Below are 15,092 nucleotides of genomic sequence, written 5' to 3'. Positions count from 1 at the left end.
CTGCCTTCCAGGTGTCTAGGCCATGTGGAAACACAGGTCTCTTCTGAAGGTCACCACCAATGGAGACCACTGCCTCAGCAAGTCAATCTCAGTATTTGTATACCCTTGTGACAATACCACAGGCCTATCTCTTTCTAAAATTCAACCATATTTTCATTGTTTATTATTGCAAATGCATAGAAAACATCAAGGAATACATATTTCCCCAAGTTCTATCGCTGTCTTAATTACTATCATGAATTCATTTTCTTCCTAATGAAAAATTTAACACTTTTAGATAGTCTTGGTGTTCTTCTTTGGTTCTCCAGATTTCCACATCATTTATATTATAAGAAAAAAATCCTGAATATTCCTCTCAGTGTGTGAATAATTGACTTATATCGATTTAGAGGCCAGGTGCAGTGGTTCACACCTGTAATCCCACCACTTTGGGAGACCAGGGTTGTTGGATCACTTGAGCTCAGGAGTTTGAGACCAACCTGGGCAGCACGACGAAACCCTGCCTCTACAAAAAAATTTAAAAAATTAGCCAGGCATGGGGCTAGGCACGGTGGCTCATGCCTGTAATCCCAGCACTTTGGGAGGCTAAGGCAGGCAGATCATGAGGTCAGGAGATCGAGACCATCCTGGCTAACACGGTGAAACCTCGTCTCTACTAAAAATACAAAACATTAGCCGGGTGTGGTGGCAGGTGCCTGTAGTCTCAGCTACTTGGGAGGCTGAGGCAGGATAATGGTGTGAACCCAGGAGGCAGAGCTTGCAGTGAGACATGATTGCTCACTGCAAGCTTGGGTCCAGGTGTTTTTTGCTGTAGTGAACCAAGATCATGCCACGGCACTCCATTCTGGATGACAAAGTGAGACCCTGTCTCAAAAAATAAAAACAAAATAAATAATAAAAGGATTTTGGTCAATATCTTAATATACTTCTTGCTGCAAACCAATGTTATACTGACATATTTCCCCCACTGGGGAAGCATGTTAGTTTTTTGTTTTTTTTTTTGCTTTTTTTTAATAGAAAGGGTCTAGCTCTGCTGCTCAACCTGGAGTGCAATGACATGATCACAGCTCACTGCAGCCTCAAACTCCGAGGCTTAAGTGATCCTCCTGCCTCAGCCTCCTGAATAGCCGGGACTGTAGGCACATGTCATCACACTCAGCTATTGTGTGTGTGTGTGTGTTTTTTTGTGTGTGTGTTTGTGTAGATGGGGTCTCACTATGTTGCCCAGGTGGGTCTCAAACTCCTGGGCCCAAGTTATTCTCACACTTTGGCCTCCCAAAACATTGGAATTATAGGCATAAGCCACCACACCTGGCCCATGCTGGCTTTTCACTTAACTTGAGGACAAGCTTGATATTCATAACTCCTAACCCCACTCTCCTCTTCTATGTGTGGTTTGCTTAGTGTTATAATCTCTGTATACATATTTTGTGCTTGTCACTTATGATTTTCATTCTAACTCCACATGCTTTCTTTCCAATTTGTCACAATTGCTGAAATAATTTATGTATATCTCTTTAAATACATGTAGTTGCCACCTAATTTGGAATGACTTATAAACTGTTACTATTTTATGTGTTTGAAGCAGTTTTTATGGAACACTAATGATTTGCATTGGCCTGAGGATATATTCTCAGACAAAGCATGGTAAAAATCAAGTTAATGAGTCTGTGGTGGTTGGCGGTGATCAACAGTTTTCCTGTGCAATGGGGTTTAGTGGGATAGAAACTGAGGTTTTAAAGACAGGCATAGATAGGCAGAAGAGAAGTCATCCCCTGATGTAACTCTTCACTTCCTATGTATCAATTCCTCCCTGGTTTTTTGAGACTGAGATAGGGAGACTCTTATGGAATATCTGTCCTTTCCCTTCAGCTGCCTGACTTTCCTGGGCTACTGGCCTACACATGTGTAATCATGGTCACCTCCACATTCATGACAAACAGAAGGAAGCAGGACCAACAAACTGCATACCCTACATGCTAACCTGAAACTATAGTGTGTGATAGTATTAGTTTATGAGATATATCAGAAGTTATATGATTTTAGTCCTTTTAAATTTATTAAGATTTATTTTAAAGGCTAGCATATGGTCTATTCTATAGAACATCCTGTGTGTACTTGAGAGGAAGTGTATTCTGTTTTTGTTGAGTGGAGTATTCTATAGATGTCTGGTAGGTTATGTTGTTTAAATCTTTTATTTCTTTATTGATCTTCTGTGTAGTTGCTGTATCCACTATTGAAAGTTGTGGTATTAAAGTCTCCATCTACTATTGTTAAATTGTCTATTTCTCCCTTCAATTCTGTCACTTTTTGCTTCCTGTGTTTTGAGGCTCTATTAGATGCATGTGTATTTATAATTGTACTCTCTTCCTGATGGATTAACCCTTTTATCATTACAAAATAGCCCTCATTGTCTTCAGTAACTTTTTTTGTCTTAAAGTCTCTTGTTTATTTTGTCTGGTATTAGGATAGTTGCTACTGAAACACCAGAGGTTTGATTTAAGTCTTGCTGTTCACTGCACAGAAAGCCAATCACTGAGTCAACTAGCTTTGCTAGGAAAGAAGGCTTTCATCAGGTACTACAACTTAGGAGATGGGAGATCAGTCTCAAATCCATCTTCCTGACCAATGAAAATTCAGGGTTTAGATAGCAGGGAAGAAATGGAACTACATACAGGAAAACAGGAATTAGGGAGAGGTAAGAAAGAGGAATTGGTCAACAGGAAGCAGGTGGTCACTTAGGCAATTTTGATGGGATAAGGGGTCTGACATTTCATTGTCCAGATGTGGTACTCTGGTAAATTTCAGTTCTTTGATACTATCTGGAGGGCCCAACGCTTGGTTTCCTGAGAAAGGAACTCAGATAATACAAATGTAACTTTCTCAAATTTCAAGACTGAAAGGGTCAATTTCTATGTTTATTCAAAAGAAACCGTAAACATCAGTTCTATGGGACAATTGGGTTGGTTTAAAAGTCACTTCAGCTTTCTTATGGTTGCTAATTACATAATTATATTACATTGTATGGCAAAGGGATTTTGCAGATACAATTAACCTTAAAATGGGGAGATTATAAAGGTTGACTAATCTAATAACATGGGCCTTTAAAGTCTGGATCTAGAGGTCAGAGGTCAGCAAACTAGGAAGTCAGAGAGATCCAAAACGTGTTAGTGATTCAATGAGGAAGAAACTCTTCATTGCTGACTTTGAAGATGGTGAGAGTCACAAATAAATAAAGTCCTCAGTCCAACAACTTCATAATTAGTGCTACCTGCAAATATGGGCTAACAATATTTTTAAATGCATTTACAATATGTGGTGAACAGATTCACATTGTCTCTGCCTACTCTTCTCTTTTGCTTTGTCCCTGCATGCTACTATGTCTGTCTAGATGGGGGGACACAAACATCAGGGCTTTGTGCAGACTTCTTTCCTTTCCTGGAATGCTATGGCTCTCTAGAGCCAGATAACACTGCTGAAGGTGGCTGAGTACAGGCAACTGATGGTGTTAGAAGCCACAGGCCCTTGATTAATCCAGGCTCTAATCTTCACCCACCTCAAAGTCCTAAGAGTCCTCCTTATAGCTTCCTATCAGATTTATACAGATTATTACCCACAAACCTTGCTCTTCCTTGGACCCCTAAGGCCAGGGCTTCTAATATCTTCATCATTTTTGAGGTATCTAATAACTCTTCTTTCTGGAGTTTCAGTTACTTCATCCCCACTGCTGAGTGAAAAGTTACCAGATGACTAGCACAAAGTCTCATATGCAAATCAGGGCTAAACAGCGAGTGGATGATATTTTGTCTAGATCAGCCATGGGTATTGTCAAATGTGACAAGAATATTATTTCTAAAAGTTCCACACTACAGAAACACACTAGAACTTACTTCCCACATTAAAAGACAACCTGGAGGAGTGGCTATTACATCTCAGGCCAAGCATTAATCTTTCCAGGATTACAACTTGGCTCCCAAAGTTGCCAAGCTATTGCTTAGACAAATTATTTAATCTGTGTTATACCAAAATTATTTCCAGGCCCCCACAATTTGCACCTGGCTGCTATACTTCTATGAAGACTAGAATTACCTATGAGTAAGAGTCCAAAATAAGCTTTCTAAATCAATTCAGACCTGTCTCACATACTTTTTGGTTTACAATTGATAACCATGAAGGAATTCTGAGTGGAGGTGCCCTGACCTTTGACAAATCTCCTATCTGTACTTGGTACCAGCTTGAGCTATTTTTATTGCTCAAACCAATAGGAAAATTTGCTGAGGCCTCAGAGATCCACCCCCTCCAGAGAATCCCTGATTTCCCAAAATTTGATCGAGATCTAAGGTTTATTTTGCTGTACAACTCATTTTCTGGAGTTTTACTTGCTTCCAACAATGAAGGCAACTTTTCCTGCTTCCATGATGATGGAGAGCAGGCAATTCCTTTCTGGGGTTTCAGTTCACTTCTAACAGGGAAGGAGGGAAGGAGAGTTTGAGTTTTTTCCTGCTTCTAGGATGGTACAGAGCAGTCTTCAGCCTGGGCCCTATTCCTAGGTAAGTAACTGAACCTGTGTTTTGTCTTGAAATTCTCCTAAATGATTAAAGTTATGATTAACAACCAGGCTGAGGCAAGAGAATGGCGTGAACCCGGGAGGTGGAGCTTGCAGTGAGCCGAGATCGCGCCACTGCACTCCAGCCTGGGCGACAGAGCGAGACTCTGTCTCAAAAAAAATAAAAAATAAAAAAATAAAAAAGATTAACAACCAACTGATCATAATTTCTTCTTACCGTTAGAGTGCTAAGCAATCATATAAATTGTGCGATCATTAATTTTCTGAACTGTTTTTTGTTTTCTGTTTGTTTTTATTGTTGTTTCCTTCTTTTCCCCATTGGGTTTGACCAGTTCTATCTGACTTGATCAAATCCAAAGGAATGTTCCAAATTATGGGGACAAGACCTCTGAATTGGATAAATCTCTGCAGAAAAATAAATAAATAAATAATAAAAATTTAAAAAGAGGGAGAGCAGGGAAAGAAAAATAAATAAATAAATAAATAAATAAATAAGCAGCCATCACGAAAATAAAGGTTTTCATTGGGCACGGTGGCTCACGCCTGTAATCCCAGCACTTTGGGAGGCCAAGGCAGGCGGATCATGATGTCACGAAATTGAGACCATCTTGACAAACACAGTGAAACTCTACTAAAAATACATCTGTACTAAAAATACAAAAAAATTAGCTGGGCATAGTGGCTGGCACCTGTAGTCCCATTTACTCAGGAGGCTGAGGCAGAAGAATGGTGTGAACCCAGGAGGTGGAGCTTGCAGTGAGCCCTGATCACACCACTGCATTCCAGCCTGGACAGCAGAGCAAGACTCCTTCTCAAAAAAAAAAAAAAAAAAAAAAAAAAAGAGAGAGAGAGAAAATAAAGGTTTTGACTACCAGAGGGGCTTTATTTATATAACAAGGCCACCTTTGCTAGCCAAACCAAACTAAAAAAGCAATGGTTGTCACCTCGTACCCCAGGCTGCAGTTCAGTAGCTAAGGTTCTGCCCCTTTTTTCACCATGACAACCTGGGTTTGGTTCCTAAATCAATTTCTTTCCAGTTTGATATTTATGTTACTTTTGAACTTTTTTTTTCCAGGGAGCTTTCTTAGCAGGATCATTGCTGGCTTTCACCCCAGCTGTTACAGAACAGCTTGACTGAATTCAAAATCCAGAAGCTCAGAGTGTATCCTGGGAAGATGGTGGAATGAGAAGCACCTGGAATCTAGACAACAACTGCACAGGCAGGATCTGTCTGATGTAAATATTTCAGAGCTCTGGAGCCTACTGATGGCTTGCAACTTCTGGAGGAAGGCCCAGTTGGTAAATTGTAGGTAATTTCAGTCAATTTCAGCCCTTAGCACAATAGCAGCTACCCAACACTACCCCCAAAGCAGTCATCTTGTGTTCCTACAGTAAGTTACAAGCTGCTAGCCCGTTTCTTAGAACCTCTCATTTCCTTTCCATCGTGGAAATCTATCCTCAAGGAAACACTTCTCAGTGTTCCATCTGCTATTCTACTACCCCTCAGGGATTGCTCAGGCCCCTCCCTTTCCTACACATCAAGCTAGGGGATTTGCCCCCGCCCAGGACTGGCAAATTGACTTTACTCATATGCCTCGAGACAGGAAACTAAAATACCTCTTGGTCTGGGTAGACACTTTCACTGGATGGGTAAAGGCTTTTCCCACAGGGTCAGAGAAGGCCACCACGGTCATTTCTTCCCTTTTGTCAGACATCATTCATCAGTTTAGCCTTCCCACCTCTATACAGTGCGATAGCGGACCGGCCTTTATTAGTCAAATCACCCGAGCAGTTTCTCAGGCTCTTGGTATTCAGTGAAACCTTCATATCCCTTACGGTCCTCAATCTTTAGGAAAGGTAAAACGGACTAATGGTCTTTTAAAAACACACCTCACCAAGCTCAGCCACCAACTTAAAAAGGACTGGACAATACTTTTACCACTTGCCTTCTCAGAATTCGGGCCTGTCCTCAGAATGCTACAGGGTACAGCCCATTTAAGCTCCTGTATAGATGTTCCTTTTTATTAGGCCCCAGTCTCATTCCAGACACCAGACCAACTTGGACTGTGCCCCCAAAAACTTGTCATCACTACTATCTTCTGTCTAGTCATACTTCTATTCACCGTTCTCAACTACTCATAAATGCTCTGCTCTTGTTTAAACTGGCGGTTTACTCTGTTTCTCCAAGCCATCACAGCTTATATCTCCTGGTGCTGTCCCCAGATTTGCCACTCTTAACTCCCTCTTAAAGTAAATAAATAATCTTTGATGGCAGGGCTATGCTGAACCCCCTTGGGCACTCTCTAATTGGATGTCCTGGGTCCTCCCAATTCTTAGTCCTTTAATACCTGTTTTTCTCCTTGTCTTATTCCGTTCTTTTTTCAATTCATACAAAACCGTATCCAGGCCATCACCAATAATTCTATATGACAAATGCTCCTTCTAACAACCCCACAATATCACCCCTTACCACAAAATCTTCCTTCAGCTTAACCTCTCCCGCTCTAGGTTCCCACACCTCCCCTAATCCCGCTCAAAGTGGCCCTGAGAAACATCGTCCATTATCACTCCATACCATCCCCAAAAATTTTCATCGCCCCAACACTTCAACACTATTTTGTTTTATTTTTCTTATTAATATAAGAAGACAGGAATGTCAAGCCTCTGAGACCAAGCTAAGCCATTATATCCCCTGTGACCTGCAAGTAGACATCAAGATGGCCTGAAATAACTGAAGAATCACAAAAGAAGTGAAATTTAAATGGCCTGTTCTGATGACATTCCACAACAAAAGAAGTGAAAATGGCTGGTCCTTGCCTTAACTGATGACATTGCCTTGTGAAATTCCTTCTCCTGGCTCATCCTGGCTCAGAAAGCTCCCCCACTGAGCACCTTGTGAACCCATCCCTGCCCGCCATAGAAGAGCCCCCTTTGACTGTAATTTTCCTTTATCTACCTAAATCCTATAAAATGGCCCCACCCCTATTTCCCTTCCCTGACTCTTTTCAGACTCAGCCCGCCTGCACCCAGGTGAAATAAACAGCCTTGTTGCTCAAACAAAGCCTGTTTGGTGGTCTCTTCACATGGACGTGAGTGAAACACACAATGGGATGCAGAGGCTTATATACCGTCTCAAGTTAACAGAATGAATAAAGGCTCAAAGCATGGCCAAAACCAGGTACCATTAGAGTCAGAGGTATATCCATTTATTGTGGGCAAGACAGGTTATGGGAGGGAGAGAAGAGGAGGCCTGGCTAGCAAAGGTGATCTTAATATGTAAATGAAACCTTACAGGCAGCAGCTCTCAGAAAGAATAAGCTCTGAAAGTTTCTTTCAGACCTTTACAGCTGTCAGACTCTCAGTTAATCTTTCCTAGATCTGGGCAAGGAAAGACTTGGCTGCATCAATGCAGATTCCCTACAGATGCAAATCTCCCCAACGAAAGACAACTTTGCAGGGCTACTTCTGCAGCTGGCTTTCTGAACAGACATCTCAAAATATGTCAAAGAAATGTATTTTGGGGTAAAATATTTTTAATTCCTTCACATCTACAGCCTGATGCACCTGCCGTTTCAACGTACCATTGTTGGTGGCAATTCCATTCTTTCCTACAATTAAGCCAAAAGAACAGATTCTCCTTGAGGCTAGTCTTTTTCTCACAGCACACATACAATTTCTCAGAAAAATTCTGTCTCCTGTTTGGTTAATTACAGACTTTAACCTGCCCAATCTTTCTCTTTCTTGGTCTTTGAATTTTGGCAAAGGAGTCTCCTGATACAGGCGGGATTGATTCTACTGACGAGTCTCAAAACCGTCAGACATTTAAGAGCCTTAATCTTGGGGTGGAGGTTTGGGCCACCCTTGAACATTTTCTTTGAGACTACCGGACCAAATCAGCCTGGCCAGGCCTGTCTTCAAGGCCCAGGGGCAGGACCAGGTAGGTCCTCCCGACGCTTCTTGAAGCTTCTCCCGCGTGTCGGCAGCCACCCTCCTCTTCCGTGTGACCTGCAGAGAAGCTTCAGGGGGCATTTATTCAATTTTCTAGGAGCCCACGAGGCGCAGGTGAGCGGTGACGCTGTGGTTCCCACCGCACCGCCGCGCTCCTTGGTCCTCTCGCTGTCTCCGGCGGGCAGTAATGTTCCAGGTGAGCTTGGGCTCCTAAGACACCAGGCAGGGAGGGACCAGTGGGGAAGGGCACCGGCCCCTTAGGTCCTTCGCAGTAGGGATCCGAAAAAGGTCTTGAAGAAATAGAAAGGGAGAGTTGGAAGTAGATCAAAGGGAAAGAAAGAAATCCTAGGAGATTTTCTATCTGAAGGCACCATGAAGAGACACTCCCTCTTCTGGGCCGGGTCCTCAGGTCGCTGGTGAACCGAGTTCCGATCTACGTTGGCGATCAAACCAGTTGACTTTGGCTTGACTCCTAGTGAAGAAGCCACGCTTTGTCCTCCCCTGTTTAGCTCTTGATCCTGAAGCACTTGATTAGGGCTTTGAATTCCAGGGATGCAAATGAGAAGTTTGTTTTTAATGCACTTCCTTGAAGTAAGAGTATTTGAAAGTATTTTTGCGAAGAAAAACATTTCCTTTTGCACTGAAGACATTCAGATGTGAGGAAGATCACTCAGCTGGGGAAAGCAAATGCTGTTGAGAATGTCTCACAAACACAAATTACATGTCAGCAGGTAGGTTTGACCCTCAGGTTGGGCACATTTTAAGTGCACTGTTGGTGGAATTTAAGATGAATCTAGGACATTCATGATTAATATTTTTAGTTTTTTAGGAAAATTTAATATTTTAAATTTAAATACACATTCTGAAAATTACATAACCAGCACAAGAAACCGGCTTTATGCCATTTTCACAAGCACATGAAAGATGATACTTTAAATGGCAATGCTTCATAAATGGCAACATTTTTAAAGTACTAGAGAAAAAAATTAACCTAGAATTCTATGCAAAAATAAAATTTCAAAACTGTGAGTGAAATAAGGACATTGAAAAACATACAAAAACTAAAAGAATTCACCAACCCACGCTACAAGAAATCTTAAGAGTCCTCCAGGCAGAAGCAAAAGGATCCCAGATAAAAATCTGGACCTATACAAAAACAAATATTGGAAATGGCATTTAGAAAGCATGTACTACACATTTTCTTATAATTTAAATCTTTTTAAAAATATTTGACATAATAAATGAAGGTAATGATAATCACAAAACTTATAATGCATAAAGTAAAAATACGTAACACTAGGATAAAGGCCAGAAAGGGAGGTATAATTACACTTGAAAGCAGAATGTGATAAATTAAAGATGTATCCCAGAAACCCTAAAGCTGCCACTGAAATAAGAGAAGGGTTATAGCTAATAAAGCAACAAAGGAAAGAAAACGGAATTAAATAAAAGCTATGTAAACACTATGCTGGAACAACTGCTCTCCAGGCCTCCACCCTATAGAAATACACCAGTGGCCAATGAGAAGTGTACAAGAATGATGACTGCAGCATCGTTTGTAATCATAAAATAATAGAACCAATGTAATTTTAAAGATACATAAAAAGGGTTTTATTTATTTAACAAACAGACAATTGAACAAACAAACAATGGAAGCAAGTCATTTGCCAAAAGGAACACAGAGGGTCATGATGATCTACTCCTCCAAGGATTTCAGGGTTCCCAGACGCCTAGTTTTCTGTCTAGTTCTGGAAGATGTTATTCTTGGGGAGCAATAGGTCCTCGAGTTTGGGGCTCTTTCAGGTTCTCTCTCCATTTCCCCATTCTGCTACAATAGATAAACAAACAAAAACAATTCTCACTTCCAGAAGATCCCGCCTGTACGTCTGCACGAGCCCTTCAGGAGGTCTGGATGTCTGGTTCACAACTCCCCTGCTTCTTTTCCAGCTTTTGCTTTCCCTTCCCCCGCTCCCGCCCTACCGCCCCACGACCCGACCACCGCCCAGCTGAGCCCCAGAGGCTCCACAGCGCAGAAGGTGCACCGGAGGTCGTGTCAGTTGCCCGCCCCGCGGGGTGCCAAGAAATCAACGCTTTGTAAAAAGAACTTCCCCGTGGAAAAAAATCTCTTGATTTCCACTCTCACCTCTCTTCAAAGGACTAAAAGCTAAAGGCGACAAGGGATTCATTCGACAAGTCCTAGTCGTGCGCCCTTGTGAGTGCCAGACCCTGCTCCCTGCCAGGGGACCCACGAGCGACCCTCACCACCATCCCTGCCCTGGTGGAGCCCCGGGCGGAACACAGGATCCGAAGATGGCAGCGGAAGCTCCGCAGCAGCCCAACAGCGACTGGGCAGGGTGGATACAGGCTCCTTCACTGGGTGAAGGCGGCACAAAGAACCGGAAGAACCATCCCGGGAGCCCACCGGGCGTTCAGCTTCCCTTGGGACCCCAGGCGTCTCGGGCTGGGTCGCCGACCGGGGCGTTTCTGGGGTCTCTCCCTCTGGCTCCAGAATCTCCTAACGCGCAGGTGTCCAACGTGACCAGCGCGATTCACCGCTCTAATATCTCTGGTTTTCCAAGAACTTGCTCAGTCGTCCTGCCAGGCGGGCCCTGGGAATAGAAGGGACAGAGGAAGTTTAGTGAGTGCGCCCTTCCTATATGGCCCAGTGGAGTTAGCAGTGCTTGTCTCTGTGGTGCAATCGGTTAGCGCGTTCCGCTGTTAACCGAAAGCTTGGTGGTTCGAGCCCACCCAGGGATGCTTATTGGAACTTTTAAAGCATGCACGTATTGTCAATCACTACATAAATGGGGAAGAATTAGCCACTAATTTATGACTGATCCATGTCAAGGGCCAGCCAGCTCCCCGACCAGATTCTTAATCGGGTATCTCCTGAAACGGCGGGTTTACACCTGTGTAACTCAGGAATCCTGAAACAGAGACCTAGGAACCCACTTCTGGTGTGATAAAATTCTAATTCAGTCGATTATACGCTTAAATGAGTAACTTACTTGTCTCCGTTTTTTCATATTTTAGTAATAGGAGTCCAGTAGTATCTCCAGGATGTGCCTGGATTTACTGATTGGTCTATCAATAATGTGACCAGTGGAATCATTCATCATCATAGTGATCCTCTCCATCATTTTTGAAAACAGTATTTTTCCTCAGTTTGTGCATTATTTATTTAACCCTTTTCAAAATGTTTTTGTTAGCCAGGCATGGTGGCATGTGCCTGTAATCCCAGGTACTTGGGATTCTGAGGCAGGAGAATCATTTGAACCTGGGAGGTGGAGGCTGCAGTGGAGGCTGCACCAGTGGAGGCTGCACCGCTACACTCCCGCCTGGGCAACAGAGCGAGACTCCATCTCAAAAAAAATAAAAATAAAAAAATAAAGTTTTTGAGATGAGGTAGGTTTCATTGTTTTAGGATTACAAAGAATGCTGCAGCCACCTTTCTTGTACACATATCTTTGGTCATTGTGGAAATGTCTACACCGCAGATATTTCTATAGTGTAGGGAAGTTGATGCACTATTGCTACATTATAGGGTTTACATGATGCTTCTAATTTGAGTACATTCCGCAAATGTATCTTTCACGGGAGCCGTACCAAATAATATTCCAGTAGCAATATTTATAGGAGGAAAAATGTGCAGAAGTGCAATTGAGCTTCGTGCCTCTCCATGGGGCCCATGTTCATAAAATGGTGGCATTAGCAATCATCTGAGAGTGGAGGAGTTTGTGGCCCTCTGACATCAAAAGCTGAAGCAGAGGACATGAAAACCCTCACTGTACATCCTCTGTAGTCTGGCCAGAATCATTCCTAGGTCAGTGGTCTCTTATCAGGAGGGAATGCTGCTTGCTTGTTTTGTCAAAACCACAAAAGGGAGGGAAAGTTTCAGGCCATTGGTTGATAACAGTGGAGAGGCAAGTCTTTCCAAAGGGCTGGTTTGTTAACCCTTAGGAAAAAAAATCCTAATTCTTACCAGATGGTTCCATGAAGTTCCAGGCTTTTGGTGTCCCAAACAAAGAACTGTACATGACACACATAAAGCAGCAAAGCAAAGCAAAAGTTTATTAAGCACAGTAACACTCTCAGAGTGGGGAGAGTCTGGGAGATGAGATCAGTATTAGTTTGGTGTACTTTGGGTCTTTTTATGTGTGTTTTTTTCTTCTCTTCACAGGGATGCCTAATCTTTAGCCAGTGTTTGTCTTTTGATTGACAGGTGCTTAGTTACTTTGGCCCTTGTGTGCTTGCACGTTGCCTCCATCCCATAATTTTAAGTACATGCATGATATGTAGTCCATATGCATGAGTTTTAATGAGCTGATTATCATATGAAGTCATGTTAAGCATACTTTTTCTCTCTAATGCACATGCCTGTCTCTGAGGAGCTGCTCCTTTACTGGTTTGGATCTTGCAGGCCATGGGGTCCTTGCTTGCTGTTTTTTGTTTTTTTGTTGGTTTTGTTTTGTTTTGTTTTGAGACAGAGTCTGTCTCTGTTGCCCAGTCTGGAGTGCAGTGGCACAATCTCGGCTACCTACAACCTTCTCCTCCCGGGTTCAAGTGATTCTCCCACTTCAGCCTCCCAAGTAGTTGGGACCACATGCGCACACCACCAACCCCGGCTAATTTTTTTGTATTTTAAGTAGAGATGGGGTTTTACCATATTGGCCAGGCTGGTCTCAAACTCCTGACCTCAGGTGGTCCACCCACTTTGGCCTCCCAAAGTCCTGGGATTACAGGTTTGAGCCACCAAGCCTGATCAAAAAAAGATTTTTTAAAATTATTCTTTTAGGCCAGTCGAGGTGGCTCATGCCTGTAATCCCAGCACTTTGGGAGGCCGAGGTGGGCTGATCACGAGGTCAGGAGTTTGAGACTAGCCTGGCCAACATGGTGAAACCCCATCTCTACTAAAAATACAAAAATTACCCGGGCATGGTGTCTGGTGCCTGTAATCCCAGCTACTCGGGATGCTGAGGCAGGAGAATCACTTGAAACCAAAAGGTGAAGGTTGCAGTGAGCAGAGATTGCACCATTGCAGTTCAGCCCGGGCAAAAGAGCAAAACTCTGTCTCAAAAAATAAAATAAATAAAATAAAATAAAAAATAAAATAAAATAAAATAAAAATAAAATAAAATAAATAAAATAAAATAAACAATAAAATAAAAATTATTCTTTTAGCCGGGCGTGGTGGCTCACGCCTGTAATGCCGGCACTTTGGGAGGCCCAGGAGGGCGGATCACGAGGTCAAGAGATAGAGACCATCCTGGACAACTTGGTGAAACCCCTTCTCTACTAAAAATACAAAAATTAGCCGGGCGTGGTGGCAGGCGCATGTAATCCCAGCTACTCAGGAGGCTGAGGCAGGAGAATCGCTGGAATCCGGGAGGCGGAGGCTGCAGTGAGCCGAGATGACGCCACTGTACTCCAGCCTGGCAAAAGAGCGAGACTCGTCTGAAACAAACAAACAAAAATATTCTTTTAAACTTGTGTCATGGCCGGGCGCGGTGGCTCACGCCTGTAATCCCAGCACTTTGGGAGGCCGAGGCAGGCAGATCATGAGGTCAGGAGATCCAGATCATCCTGGCTAACACGGTGAAACCCCGTCTCTACTAAAAATACAAAAAATTAGCCGGGCGTGGTGGCGGGTGCCTGTAGTCCCAGCTACTAGGGAGGCTGAGGCAGGACAATGGCTAAACCAGGGAAGCAGAGCTTGTAGTGAGCCGAGATGTCGCCACTGCACTCCAGCCTGGGCGACAGAGCAAGACTCCGTCTCAGAAAGAAAAAAAGAAAGAAAGAAAGAAAGAAAAATGAGGAAGCTACTGATAGTCCAGTATGGTATACTGTGACAGATTGAAAAAAAAAGTGGTTATATTTTGCAGCTTCTCTCATCAAGAGAGTCTATTTCTCCTCTCTTTGAATCTTGGATTGGCTATATGACTTGCTTTGGGCAAATGTTGGTGCCTTCGCAAACCTGGCAGAAGAGAGGCTTGCACATGGGAGGATTACCTGCTTTTTTCTTCACTTGAAATCCTGAGGCCATGATCTGAAGATCCCCCAAAGCTAGCCTGCTAGAGAGATCACATGAAGAAAAAGATCCATGCATCCCACTTTTTCCAACCAATCCACCTATACCCCAGATGTGTGAGGCCATCCTAGACCATCCAGCCCCAAATGAACCAGCTTGGACTAGAAGAATTTCCAAGCCAACTCACAGAATCACTAAAAATAATAAATTATTGTTATTCTTTTTTTATTTTTTAAGAGACGAGATCTCAGTCTGTAGCCCAGGCTGGAGTGCAGTGGCATGATCTCGGCTCACTGCAACCTCGGCCTCCCGGGTTCATGCCATTCTCCTGCCTCAGCCTCCCTAGTAGCTGGGACTACAGGCACCTGCCACCACGCCTGGCTAATTTTTGTATTTTTAGTAGAGACGGGGTTTCACCGTGTTAGCCAGGATCGTCTCAAACTCCTGACCTCGTGACCTGCCCGCCTTGGCCTCCCAAAGTGCTGGGATTACAGGTGTTAGCCACCACGCCCAGCCAATTATTGTTATTCTAAGTCAATAAGCTTGGGA

At 43.2% G+C, this 15,092-nt stretch overlaps 1 long non-coding RNA gene across 4 annotated transcripts in view, besides 3 other annotated features; it reads right to left on the bottom strand.

Annotated features, from left to right (window-relative positions):
- Positions 7,110 to 7,663: an enhancer, noted in NCBI's record as "OCT4-NANOG hESC enhancer chr1:149619223-149619776 (GRCh37/hg19 assembly coordinates)". NCBI's record gives its function as "activates a minimal SCP1, AML or CMV promoter by ChIP-STARR-seq in primed H9 embryonic stem cells {active_cell/tissue: H9 hESC(primed)}" and the evidence as "EXISTENCE:reporter gene assay evidence [ECO:0000049][PMID:30033119]".
- LINC00623 (long intergenic non-protein coding RNA 623) overlaps positions 7,752 to 15,092 on the bottom strand; it is a 43,574-nt gene continuing 36,233 nt past the window's right edge. For 2 of the 4 annotated variants that reach the window (NR_024584.2, NR_024511.2), the window contains 2 exons: positions 10,778 to 11,124; positions 7,752 to 10,343 (listed from right to left, as the gene is read on the bottom strand). This is a non-coding gene — a long non-coding RNA (long intergenic non-protein coding RNA 623). Of the gene's footprint in view, positions 11,125 to 15,092 lie in introns of all 4 variants that reach the window. The other 2 variants (NR_109754.2, NR_024510.2) reach the window with 2 other exon arrangements.
- Positions 10,021 to 10,721: an enhancer, noted in NCBI's record as "H3K4me1 hESC enhancer chr1:144480662-144481362 (GRCh37/hg19 assembly coordinates)". NCBI's record gives its function as "activates a minimal SCP1, AML or CMV promoter by ChIP-STARR-seq in naive H9 embryonic stem cells {active_cell/tissue: H9 hESC(naive)}" and the evidence as "EXISTENCE:reporter gene assay evidence [ECO:0000049][PMID:30033119]".
- Positions 10,722 to 11,420: an enhancer, noted in NCBI's record as "H3K4me1 hESC enhancer chr1:144481363-144482061 (GRCh37/hg19 assembly coordinates)". NCBI's record gives its function as "activates a minimal SCP1, AML or CMV promoter by ChIP-STARR-seq in naive H9 embryonic stem cells {active_cell/tissue: H9 hESC(naive)}" and the evidence as "EXISTENCE:reporter gene assay evidence [ECO:0000049][PMID:30033119]".

This window comes from Homo sapiens, chromosome 1 (assembly GCF_000001405.40).
Source record: "Homo sapiens chromosome 1, GRCh38.p14 Primary Assembly".
Classification (NCBI taxonomy): Eukaryota; Metazoa; Chordata; class Mammalia; order Primates; family Hominidae; genus Homo; species Homo sapiens.
The sequence above is the reverse complement of the archived record's forward strand: the minus strand, read 5'-3'. Positions and strand labels throughout refer to the sequence as shown.